At 49.0% G+C, this 12598-nt stretch overlaps 1 protein-coding gene across 4 annotated transcripts in view; it reads right to left on the bottom strand.

The window, feature by feature from the left end:
• MMD2 (monocyte to macrophage differentiation associated 2) overlaps nt 1-12598 on the bottom strand; it is a 66943-nt gene that overhangs the window by 19640 nt on the left and 34705 nt on the right. For 3 of the 4 annotated variants that reach the window (NM_198403.4, NM_001270375.2, NM_001100600.2), the window contains exons 3-4: nt 8287-8447; nt 4121-4195 (exon numbers count right to left, since the gene is read on the bottom strand). In NM_198403.4, coding sequence (NP_940685.3) covers nt 4121-4195; nt 8287-8447 — 236 coding nt within the window. Of the gene's footprint in view, nt 1-1450; nt 1505-4120; nt 4196-8286; nt 8448-12598 lie in introns of all 4 variants that reach the window. The other variant, NR_072989.2, reaches the window with a different exon arrangement.

A 12598-nucleotide genomic window follows, 5' to 3' on the forward strand; every position in this document is an offset into this window, starting at 1 on the left:
TGATCCACTCACCTTGACCTCCCAAGTGCTGGGATTACAGGCCTGAGCCACCGCGCCCGGCCTCCAATCCTTTGTTAATAATTATTTTAAGAGACAGGGTCTTGCTACTTGAGAAGCTGGGGTGGGAGGATCGCTTAAGTCTGGGAGGTGGAAGCTGCAGTGAGCCATGATCCCACCACTGCACTCCAGCCTGGGCAACAGAGTAAGTAAGACCCTGTCTCAAAAAAATTAAAAATAATAATAATTAAAAAATAAAAAATAGGAAGAAGAACTGTTTTTACCAACATAGATAGATCTCTAAGCTATATTGTGAGGTGTTCAGGAGGGTGGAGGGTATGAACCAAGAAGAATAAGATGACAATATTGTGTGTATGTATAAAGAGATAACTGTTGGCCGGGCGCGGTGGCTCACGCCTGTAATCCCAGCACTTTGGGAGGCTGAGGCGGGCAGATCACGAGGTCAGGAGATTGAGACCATCCTGGCTAACATGGTGAAACCCCGTCTCTACTAAAAATACAAAAACAAAATGAGCCAGGCGTGGTGTCGGGCGCCTGTAGTCCCAGCTACTCAGGAGGCTGAGGCAGGAGAATGGCGTGAACCCGGGAGGCAGAGCTTGTAGTGAGCCAAGATCGCGCCACTGCACTCCAGCCTGGGCAACAGAGCAAGACTCTGTCTCAAAAAAAAAAAAAAGGGATAACGGTCAATGCACAGAAAAAGATCTGAACCTCTTCCTAAGTGGTTTTGTCTGGAAAGGTGTAGTTAACAATGGTGGTGATGACTGAGGAAGAGGGTCCTTTAAGTTTTTTCTGGAATGAATTTCTTTTTTTGTTTGTTTTTTGATATGGATTCTCGCTCTGTCACCCAGGCTAAAGTGCAGTGAGGCAATCTCAGCTCACTGCACCCTTCGCCTCCCGGGTTCAAGTGATTCTCCTGCCTCAGCCTCCCGAGTAGCTGGGATTACAGGCGTACCACCATGCCTGGCTAATTTTTGTATTTGTAGTAGAGATGGGGTTTCACCATGTTGGCCAGGCTGGTCTCAAACTCCTGACCTCAGGTGATCTGCCCTCCTCGGCCTGCCAAAGTGCTGGGATTACAGGCGTGAGCCACGCGCCTGGCCTGGAATGAATTTCTGAAATGAGAATGTGTTATGTAAAACTTCTGCCAAAAAAAGTGACCTGCTTGGAGTCTGTCATTATAAAGAATTTAAGTAACACCGAAAAGTTTAAGAGTAAAAAATAATAACCCATCTCATTACCCAAAATAACCATCAGTGAACATCATTCTAGATATCCTTCCAAGTAGACCTAAAAATAGGTCACTGGGTAGAAGGATAGGACGGGATGAAGGGAAAGGAGAAAGGGTGAGAATTAAAGTTATACACATCTTTTTTAATTAAAAGTATTACATTTAATTTTAACTTGACTTCAAAAGAAGAAAATGGACACTTACAAATTTTGCTGAACTTCAAACAAATGTTTCTTCACCATAAAATTCACTTGGACTCTAAAGTTAAGATAAATTATGTAAAGCACAAGAAAACTGGATTTTCTGCCTGGCGCAGTGTCTCACGCCTGTAATCCCAGCACTTTGGGAGGCCGAGGCAGGTGGATCCACCTGTGGTCAGGAGTTCAAGACCAGCCTGGCCCAAATGGTGAAACCCCATCTCCACTAAAAATACAAAAATTAGTTGGGAGTGGTGGCGGAAGCCTATAATTCCAGCTATTTGGGAGGCTCAGGCAGGAGAATTGCTTGAACCCGGGAGGCAGGGTTTGCACTGAGCCAAGATCACGCCATTGCGTTCCAGCCTGGGCAACAAGAGCGAAACTCTATCTCGGCAAAAAAAAAAAAAAAAAAAAAAAAGTGGATTTTTTTTTCAAGCCATTCTCCTGCCTTAGCCTCCCGAGTAGTTGGGACCACAGGTGCCTGCCACCACGCCCGACTAATTTTTTGTATTTTTAGTAGAGACGGGGTTTCACCGTGTTAGCCAGGATGGTCTCGATCTCCTGACCTCATGATCTGCCCACCACAGCCTCCCAAAGTGCTGGGATTACAGGCGTTAGCCACTGCGCCTGGCAGGTGGATTTTTTAAATTACATGTTTCAGTTTCTTGTTTGTTTTTTTAGAGACCGGGTGTCACTCTCCCAGGCTGGAGTGCAGTGGCACAATCATAGCTCACTGCAGCCTTGACTTCCTGGGCTCAAGCGGTCCTCCTGTCTCAGCCTCCTGAGTAGCTGGGAGCACAGGCACATGCCATCACAAACTAGTTTCTTTCAAAAACTCCTCATGGATATGGTATTCTTGGACTTCTTTCATGCGTGACCATGGTGCCTATTGTTTTTATGTCTGCATGACAACCCCATTTGATAGTTTATTCTGAAGTTTATCTCTGGGAAATTATTAGAAGTGTCTCCACTGTGTGTCAGCATTAAATGGTGCTGTGGCCACATTCAGAAGCCAGCTTGTTTTTTTCACATTGCAAATAATTTACTTTTTCAGTCTCAATGCCTGCAGAATTTGTCTCTTTCATTTCCATCAGCTTCTCTCTGATTGCTGTAATTTAGACTTTTTGAAAATGTATTCTCCCTGTTTATGTAAAACCTTCAATATTTATTTGGTTTTCGGTTTGTTTGTTTTTGTCCCCAACAAAGAGAGGGAGCTGGGGGTTTTGTTTGTGACAATACCCTCAGATACCAGCACAGGGCCTGGCACAGGGCAGTGCCCAGTCAATCACAACCAGGGGTAAAGGTAAAGAAGAGAAACTCAGGCCGGGCACGGTGGCTCGCACCTGTAATCTCATCACTGTGGGAGGCCGAGGCAGGCAGATCACCTGAGGTCAGGAGTTTCAGACCACCCTGGCCAACATGGTGAAACCCCATCTCTACTAAAAATACAAAAATTAGCAGGGTATGGTGGCATGTGCCTGTAGTCCTAGCTACTCAGGGGGCTGAGGCAGGAGAATCATTCAAACCCGGGAGGTGGAGGTTGCAGTGAGCCGAGATCATGCCACTGCACTCCAGCCTGGGCAACAGAACAAGACTCCATCTCAAAAACATAAACAAAACAAAACAAAAAATAAAAACAAAATAAATATATACTTTTAAAATGTGGCCATTGCAATGGCTCACGCCTGTACTCCCAACAGTTTGGGAGGCTGAGGCGGGAGGATGGCTTGAGGCCAGGAGTTCAAGACCAGCCTGGGCTACATACTGAGACCCATCTCTACAAAAATAAAAATATTAGCCAAGCATGGTGGCTTGCACCTGCAGTCCCAGCTACTTGGGAGGCTGAGGTGGGAGGATCACTTGAGCCCAGGAGTTGGAGGCTGCAGTGAGCTATGATCACAACACTGCACTCCAGCACAGGCAACAGATCAAGACCCTGTCTCTTAAAAAAAAAATTAAAAATTTAAAAGCTATATTAAATAAATTAAATATTAAGTAAATATAAATATAAGTATATATGTATGTATATGCATGTGTATGCATACGTCTATGTCTATTACACATATTTATATATGTGTATATATGTAGACACATATGCATACATATGTACATATTAATATTTGCTTTTCTGGATGGGCACGGTGGCTCACACCTGTAATCCAAACACTTTGGGAGGCTGAGGTGGGCAGATCACTGGAGGTTAGGAGTTCGAGAGCAGCCTGGCCAACATGGTGAAACCCCGTCTCTACTAAAAATACAAAAATTAGCTGGGCGTGGTGGCGCGTGCCTGTAATCCCAGCTACTCGGGAGGCAGAGGCAGGAGAATCGCTTCAACCAGGGAGGCAGAGGTTGCAGTGAGCCAAGACCTCGCTACTGCACTCTAGCCTGGGTGACAGAGTGAGATTCTGTCTCAGAATTCTCAGAAAAAAAAAAAACAATGTATATATTTGCTTTTTCTGCATAAAATAACTCAAGAAGTGAGTTATTTTCTGCATAAAATAACACAGGAAAGTGGGTATAAGTAGCTGCTTCCAGGAAGGAAAAAAGGGTGGCGGGAAGCTTTTAACCTAACTCCTTTGTGCCAAGTCAACACATTACCCAGCCAAATAGAAAAATAAATTCAAACAATGAAAAGAAAGGCCGCCAAGGGTTTGCTGGGCGGCGGGACGGTACTCACCAGGGTGCGTAGGAAGCCGCTATGAAGAAATAGATGACCATCCGGTCGAACATGTGTAGACAGTGTTCCACCATCCTAGGGCGGCAGAGAAGCCGGCAGTCACAGCCCCTGCACAGCAGGGAAGGGCCAGTGCCCCCAGAGCCGTGCCCTGGACTGATCGTGCCTGCCTACAGGTTAGCAGGGCTGGGCTCCTCTGTCCAGCCAAGACCCCTTGGCCCTCAGAATCCCCATCTGTAAGTGACCAGAGCAGTGGTCTTCAAACCAGGCTCCTTATCACCCTAGGGGCTGCATGGAGACACCTTGCCTCGGGGGTCCCACTGAGGGCCTTGCGCCCCTACAGGTAAGGATTGAACATCCTCCGTCCCACTTTTTTTTTTTTTTTTTTTTTTTTTTTTTAAGATAAGGTCTTGCTCTGTCTCCCAGGCTGGAGTGCAGTGGCACGATCTCAGCTCACTGCAACCTCCGCTTCCCGGATTCAAGCCATTTTCTTGCCTCAGCCTTCCAAGTAGCTGGGATTACAGGCACCTGCCACCATGCCCAGCTAGTTTTTGTATTTTTAGTAGAGACGGGGTTTCGCCATGTTGGCCAGACTGGTCTCAAACTCCTGAACTCCAGTGATCCACCCGCCTCGGTCTCCTAAAGTGCTGGGATTACAAGCGTGAGCCACCGCACCTGGCCATCCTCCCCTACTTTAATCAGAGCCACTGTGCATTTCTGCTTTATATACTGGGTTTTTCCAAAGATTTATAATGGGGAAAGAATTCTGTGGACAAAGTGCAAAAATGGCCAGATGGAGTGGCTCACACCTGTAATTCCAGAGCGTTGGGAGGCTGAGGCAAGAGAATTGCTTGAGCTCAGGAGTTGGAAACCAGCCTGGGCAACACAGTGAGACCTCATCTCTACTAAAAATTAGGAAGATCAGCCAGGCATAATTGTGTGTGCCTGTAGGCCTAGCTACTCCAGAGGCTGAGGCAGGAGGATCTCTTGACCCTGGGAGGTGGAGACTGCAGTGAGCCATGTTTGTGCCACTGCACTCCAGTCTGGGCAACTGAGCTAGATCCTGTCTCAAAAAAAAAGTGCAAAAACTACTAAATTACGTGCCCCTCAAGACTGTCTGGGAGCTGACATTCTAATGCTAGAAGAGCTTAGTGGTTCGGATCCAAGCTGTGGAGCCAAAAGGCCTGGGTTCGAATTCCAGCTCTACACTTCAGGAGTACATAACCTTGAGCAAGTTACCTATTCGCTCTAGGTCTCAGCTTCCTTCTCTGTAAAACACGGAGGATGCCAGCAACCTGACACGGGGCTGTGGGGAGGATTAAATTAGCTAATACCCAGCACAGTACATAGTAAGTGCTCAATAAATACCAGCTGTTTTGGCCAGGCATGGTGGCTCATGCCTGTAATCCCAGCACTTTGGGAGGCCAAGGTGGGTGGATCACCTAAGGTCAGGAGTTTGAGACCAGCCTGGCTAACATGGTGAAACCCTGTTTCTACAAAAAATACAAAACATTCCCCGTCTCTACTAAAAATACAAAAAATTAGCCGGGCGTGGTGGTGGGCACCTGCAGTCCCAGCTACTTGGGAGGATGAAGCAGGAGAATGGCATGAACCTGGGAGGCGGAGCTTGCAGTGAGCCGAGATCATGCCACTGCACTCCAGCTTGGGCAACAAGAGTGAAACTCTGTCTCAAAAAAAAAATAAAAAATAGATAAATAATAAAAATAAATAAATAAACACCAACCATTTTTATGATGACCTCACCTTGTATAGTGAGCGATAACCCTCAATACATGGGACTGGAATGGTGCCAGCCTCCACAATGGTGCCAATGAGTCAAGCCCCTAGTATTCACACACTGGGACCCTCCCCTCCCAAAACAAATAAGGTAAACTCAGGGAACAAATAGGACATTGCAGAAATGATGGTGTGTGGTTCCTGAGGCCAGATCATAAAAGACATTACAGCTTCTGCCTTGTTCTATTAAGTCGCTAAGTTTGGGGAAAACAAGCTCCCATGTGGCTGTGAAGACAGCCACACTACAACCCAGCACTAGCTCACCAGCCAAGTGAGGGAGCTTAGAGCCTCCAGCCCCAGTCAAGCCATCAGATGACAGCAGCCCCAGCCAGCCTCTGACTACAGGAAACAGCACAGACTGGAGCCACACAGCTAAAGCTCTCAAACTCTTATTTGAGACAGAGTAAGTGTTTCTTGTTATTTTAAGCCATAGTGCTCTGGGATACTTGGTTACAAAGCAATCACTGACCAGTACAAACTGTGGCTCTGTCTAGCAAAGTGCAGCCCTGAACAAATTTGACTAATGATTGTATGCACGGCTCAACTGCATGTCTTCCTAGAAATTAAAGGGAGTGGCATATAGCTTTATGGGGGGCCTGGATTCCCAGAGTCAGCTTGAGTTGAATGTGGCTGCTATGCAACCTTGAGCAAATAAGGTTTCTTTTCTTTTTCTTTTCTTTCTTTCTTTTTTTTTTTTTTTTTTGAGACAGATTCTCACTCCGTTGCCTTAGCTGGAGTGCAGTGGCACTATCTAGACTCACTGCAACCTCCGCCTACCAGGTTCAAGCAATTCTCGTGCCTCAGCCCCCTGAGTAGCTGGGATTACAGGTGTGTGCCAGCCCCAGTGCCTGGCTAATTTTTGTATTTTTAGGAGAGACAGGGTTTCACCATGTTGGCCAGGCTGGTTTCAAACTCTTGACCTCAAGTGATCCTCCTACCTCGGCCACCCAAAATGCTGGGATTACAGGCATGAGACACCTTGCCTGGCCTGTAATTTTTTTTTTTTTAATCAAAACTAGCCAGGCACAGTGGCTCACACTTGTAATCCCGGCACTTTGGGAAGCCAAGGAGGGCAGATCGCCTGAGCCCAGGAATTCAAGGCCAGCCTGGGCAACATGATGAAACCCCATCTGTACAAGAAATACATAAAATTAGCTAGATGAGGTGGTGCATGCCTGTAGTCCCAGCTACTCGGGAGGCTGAGATAAGAGGATCGCTTGAGCCCTGGAGGTGGAGGCTGCAGTGAACCGAGATGATGTTATCACACTCCAGCCTGGGTGACAGAGTGAGACCCCATCTCAAAAAAAAATAAAAATCAAAACTGTAATATCAGGGATTCTAGTGCCTGCATTGCAGAATTATTAGAAAGATTAGGGAATGGCGCCTGTAGCATGCCTGGAACGAAGCCCAGAGGGGAGCTGGCCCGTCGTGACCACCCTGCAGCCAGCAAGGGCTTTTCTCTTGGTCCTCTCAGAAGCAAGCAAAACAAGTCAGGCGTGAAGGCTCATTTCCGAAACTCCAGCACTTTGGGAGGCTGAAGCAGGTGGATCACTAGAGCCCATGAGTTGGAGAACAGCCTGGGCAACATGGTGGAACCCCATCTCTACAAAAAGATACAAGAATTAGCCAGGCATGATGGCACACACCTGTGGTCTCAGTTCCTCAGGCGGCTGAGGCAGGAGGTGCTTGAGCCCTGGAGGTGGAGGCTACAGTGAGCTGAGACTGTACCACTGCACTCCAGCCTGGGCAACAGATTGAGACTCTTTCTCAAAAAACAAACAAACAAACAAAAAAGAAAACAAGTTGGCCAGGCACAGTGGCTCACACCTGTAATCCCAACACTTTGGGAGGCCGAGGTGGGTGGACCATCTGAGGTCAGGAGTTCGAGACCAGCCTGGCCAACATGGCGAAACCCCATCTCTACCCACCCCCCAAAAAAATACAAAAATTAGCTGGACGTGGTGGTGCATACCTGTAGTCCCAGCTACTCGGGAGGCTGAGGCGGGAGAATTGCTTGAACCCAGGAGGCGGAGGTTGCAATGAGCTGAGATAGCGCCACTGCACTCCTGCCTGGGCTACAGAGTGAGACTCCATCTCAGAAAAAACAAAAAGCAACAACAAAAAAAGTGAGCAAACCAGGCTCCCGTGGGCGAGGTGGTCCGCCCTGAAGAGACTCAACCGCAGCCTGTTTAAGGCAGGGCTTGTGCCTCCTGCAAAGCCAGCCTCCTGCAAAGTCGCCCAGCCCAGCCCCTCCCAGCTCAGTGGAGAATGTCACCAGGCAGACCGGATATCCTGGTTCACCCCCCGGGCTGCCATGGGTCCCCCTGCCCCGACCCCCTACCCGGCATGGGTCCCCTCTGGGCGGGAGGCACCTGAGGTGGCTCTTCTTCCAGGAGATGGTGTGAAACACAGTGGACACCACGAAGAGGCCGCAGAGGCCGAGGCCGTAGATCCAGGCAGAGATGGTCTCCCAGTCATCGTCCGACAGGAAGTAGAGGTTGGAGCTGCCCAGGATGCTGGGGATGATCCAGAACTGGAGGGGCAGGGACGGCAGGGACAGGTGCAGCAGCTGGGTGGCTCAGAGCACACCTCCTGCCCCTTCCCCGGCTGAGCTGCCCAACGTGGCAGCACTCGGCTCTTGAAATGTGGTCAGTGCCACTGAAGAACGGAATCATTTTATTTCACTTTAAGGGATTCAGGTGTAAATTTCCTTTCTTCCTTCCTTCCCTCCCTCCCTCTCTCCTTTCCCTTTCCTTCTTTCCTTCCAGCCTTCCTTCCTTCCTCTCTTCTTTCCTTCCTTTCCTTTCCCTTTTCCCCTTTCCTTTCCTTTTTTTCTTTTCTTTCTCTTTTCCTTTCCTCTTTCTTTCTTCCCCTTCCCTCCTCCCTCTCTCCTCCCTCCCTCCCTCCCTCCCTCCCTCCCTTCCTCCCTTTCTCTCTTCCGTCCTTCCTTGTCTTGTCCCCCATGCTGGAGTGCAGTGGTGCAATCGCAGTTCACTACAGCCTCAACTTCCTGGGCTCAAGTGATCCTCCCACCTTGGGCTCCCAAGTAGCTGGGACTACAGGCACCCACCACCACGACTGGCCAATTTTTATATTTTTTATAGAGGTGGGGTCTGGCTATAATGCCCAGGCTGGTCTTGAACTCCTGACCTCAGGCTATCCTCCCACCTTGGCCTCCAAAGGATTGGGATTATAGGCGTGAGCCACCATGCCCAGCCTCAGGTGTCAATTTCAACAGCCATGTGGGGCCAGTGGCTGCCAACCTGGACAGTGCAGGTCTAGATCTTTGATTCAATTCTCAAAGGGGTCCATGTATGAAATGGTCAAAGACCACGTCCCAGAGAGTGGCCATCCCCACCACATCCCAGCCCCTCTCTGGGCCACCACACAGAGAAGTATGATGTGCCACATGTGACCCATCATCACCACTGATGTCCTGACCTCATCTGCTTGGACTGCCCTGAAGGAAGAGCCCAGCCCTAAGCAGCACAGGCGCCCAGGTACCATTCAGCTTGTAAACAGGTTTAAATAGTGGATGGCGGCCAGGTGCGGTGGCTCACACCTGTAATCCCAGCACTTTAGGAGGCCGAGGCGGGCAGATCACGAGGTCAGGAGTTCGAGACCAGCCTGGCCAATATGGTGAAACCCCGTCTCAACTGAAAAATACAAAAAATTAGTCAGGCATGGTGGTGCGCACCTGTAATCCCAGCTACTCAGGAGGCTGAGGCAGGAGAATTGCTTGAACCCAGGAGGTGGAGATTGCAGTGAGCTCAGATCGCGCCACTGCACTCCAGCCTGGGCGACAGAGCAAGACTCTGTCTCAAAAAAAAAAAAAAAAAAAAGTAGGCAGGTGGGAATTCAGCCCCTACCGTGTGCATCCTCCAGGACTCACTGAACGCAATCTGCCTGCAAGATCAGCCCAGGTGAGTCCCAAAGGAAAGAGGTATCCCGCTAGCCTCCCCGACACCCAGGCTGGGCGCCGGATGGGGACAGGTCAACAGCAATGCACCAGAATGGGATGGCTCCTTAATAAGAGGCCTTCAGCCACCCACATGTCCATCTGCGTATGGCAGACTGAACATCAACAGGGAAGATAGAAGCCTTGCTGTAGGGGATGGAATTATAACTTTAAAAAATCATTTCTGGCCGGGTGCGGTGGCTCACACCTGTAATCCCAGCGCTTTGGGAGGCTGAGGCCAGGAGGATCACCTGAGGTCAGGAGTTCAAGACCAGCCTGGCCAACATGGTAAAACCCCCTCTCTACTAAAAATACATAAATTAGCTAGGCATGGTGGCATGCGTCTGTAATTCCAGCTACTTGGGAGGCTGAGGCAGGAGAATCGCTTCAACCCAGGAGGCGGAGGTTGCAGAGAGCCAAGATCACGCCACCATACTCCAGCCTGGGTGACAGAGAGAGATTCCATCTCAGAAAAAAAGAAATCACTTTCATCAATCTTATTACATCATCTTAAAAAAATAAACAAAAACTGGCCAGGTGCAGTGGCTCATGCCTGTAATCCCAGCACTTTGGGAGGCTGAAGCAGGTAGATCCCTTGAGGCCAGGAGTTTGAGACCAGTCTGGTCAACAGGGCGAAACCCCATCTCTACTAAAAATACAAAAATTAGCCAGGCGTGGTGGCGCACACCTGTAGTCCCAGCAAGACTCCATTTAAAAAAAAATAAATAAACAGCAGCTATCCATGCTACTTCATAATTTGGGGACATGCTTCTCATTAGGCTGTAGACTCCAATTATGTTTTGTGCTATTTTAAAATATATATACATTTTTTTTTAGAGATGGAATCGCTCTCTGTTGCCCAGGCTGGAGTGCAGTGGTACAATCATAGCTCACTGCAGCCTCGACATCCTGGGTTCACATGATCCTCTTGCCTTGGCCTCCTGAGTAGCTGGGACCACAGACACATGCCACTGCGCCTGGCTCCTAGTTTGTGCTATTTTGCGATCACCTACCATGCCTAGTATTCATTGAGTTCCTCTCTCACTCATTCATTCATTCCACAAACCTGTGAGCACAGGACATGTCCTCAGGAATGAAATGATACATGCCCATCACCCTGCCCTCACCCTGTGCTCATAGGTGCTAACTGAGGGAGCATCCAACAAATGAATAAGTTAACAGCAGGGGCCTGGTACCTGTGACTCAGTCACCCACTTCCTGGAGCCTGCTGGACTATGAATATGCCTTGTGTTTATAGCATCAGTGGTCAGAGGAGATCATAAATAGGTTTTTGTCCCCAGCCTCACAGCTTCTCCCAGGTATGATGGCAGAATCAATTCAGCACTTTTTTTTTTTTTGTAAACGAGTTTCACTCATTCTGTCCTGCACTCAACTGGAGTAAAGTGGCACAATCTTGGCTCACTGCAGCCTCTGCCTCCTGGGTTCAAGTGATTCTCCTGCCTCAGCCACCTCAGTAGCTGGGATTACAGGCGCATACTACCACACCTGGCTAATTTTTGTATTTTTAGTAGAGATGGGGTTTCACCATGTTGGCCAGGCTGGTCTCGAACTCCCAACCTCAAGTGATCCGCCCGCCTCAGCCACCCAAAGTGCTGGGATTACAGGTGTGAGCCACTGCATCCGGCCAATTCAGCACCTCTTTCCTCAGGAGTGTGCTGTCAAAGAAACACACTTGTCAATGTGCCTACATTGTGCCAACATGGTGCCTTCAGCAACACTCACAGCCACCCTTGGGAGTGGCTCTTACGATGTCCATTCTACAGATAAGGAAACTGAGGCTCAGGGCCACTAAATGATGGAGCTGGGATTCAAAGGCAGGTCTTCTCTTCCTAGAGCTTTATTTTTGGGGTGCAGTGTAGACTTGTGTCGATGAGTTAGCTTGTGGCTTTGGGCAGATTCTCTCACCCAAGCCTCAGTTTCCTCCCTTGCAAAAGAGGGAATCATGTGTTCATTCTCAAATATTTTCCGAGCCCCTACGATGCACACAGCATGGGACTTCAGAGATGAGCCAGTGAGAACCAGTCTCTGCTCAGCAGAGCACCTGCTCAAAAGGGACTGACTGAGAAAATGCAAACTTAGAACCCAGTGTGGGCTGGGCACGGCGGCTCATACCTGTAATCCCAGCCCTATGGGAGGCCAAGGCGGCGGCTCACACCTGTAATCCCAGCCCTATGGGAGGCCAAGGCGGGTGGATCACGAGGTCAGGAGATCGAGACCATTCTGGCTAACACGGTGAAACCCCGTCTCTACTAAAAATACAAAAAATTAGCCGGGCTTGGTGGCGGGCGCCTGTAGTCCCAGCTACTCGGGAGGCTGAGGCAGGAGAATGGCATGAACCCAGGAGGCAGAGCTTGCAGTGAGCCGAGATCGCACCACTGCACTCCAGCCTGGGGAACAGAGCGAGACTTCGTCTCAAAAAAAACAAAAACAAAACAATAACAACAACAACAACAACAGAACCAAGTGTGGTCCAGGCACACACTAAGTTCGAATCAGCACCAGCCACTCCTTTCTATGACACCGGTGGCCCATTGTTAAAGGCCTGGGCTCAGGCCAAACACACAATAGCCCCCGGGGTCTAACAGGTCAGGGCGGGGGGTTTGAGAATTAATTCACCTCCACACACGCTATCTGGGCACTTCCCTGTGCCAGGTGTGCTGAGATGTCCTGAGATATCAAAGAATCCAGCAGGGGTTCTGTTTGAA

Source organism: Homo sapiens, chromosome 7 (assembly GCF_000001405.40).
Source record: "Homo sapiens chromosome 7, GRCh38.p14 Primary Assembly".
Lineage (NCBI taxonomy): Eukaryota > Metazoa > Chordata > Mammalia > Primates > Hominidae > Homo > Homo sapiens.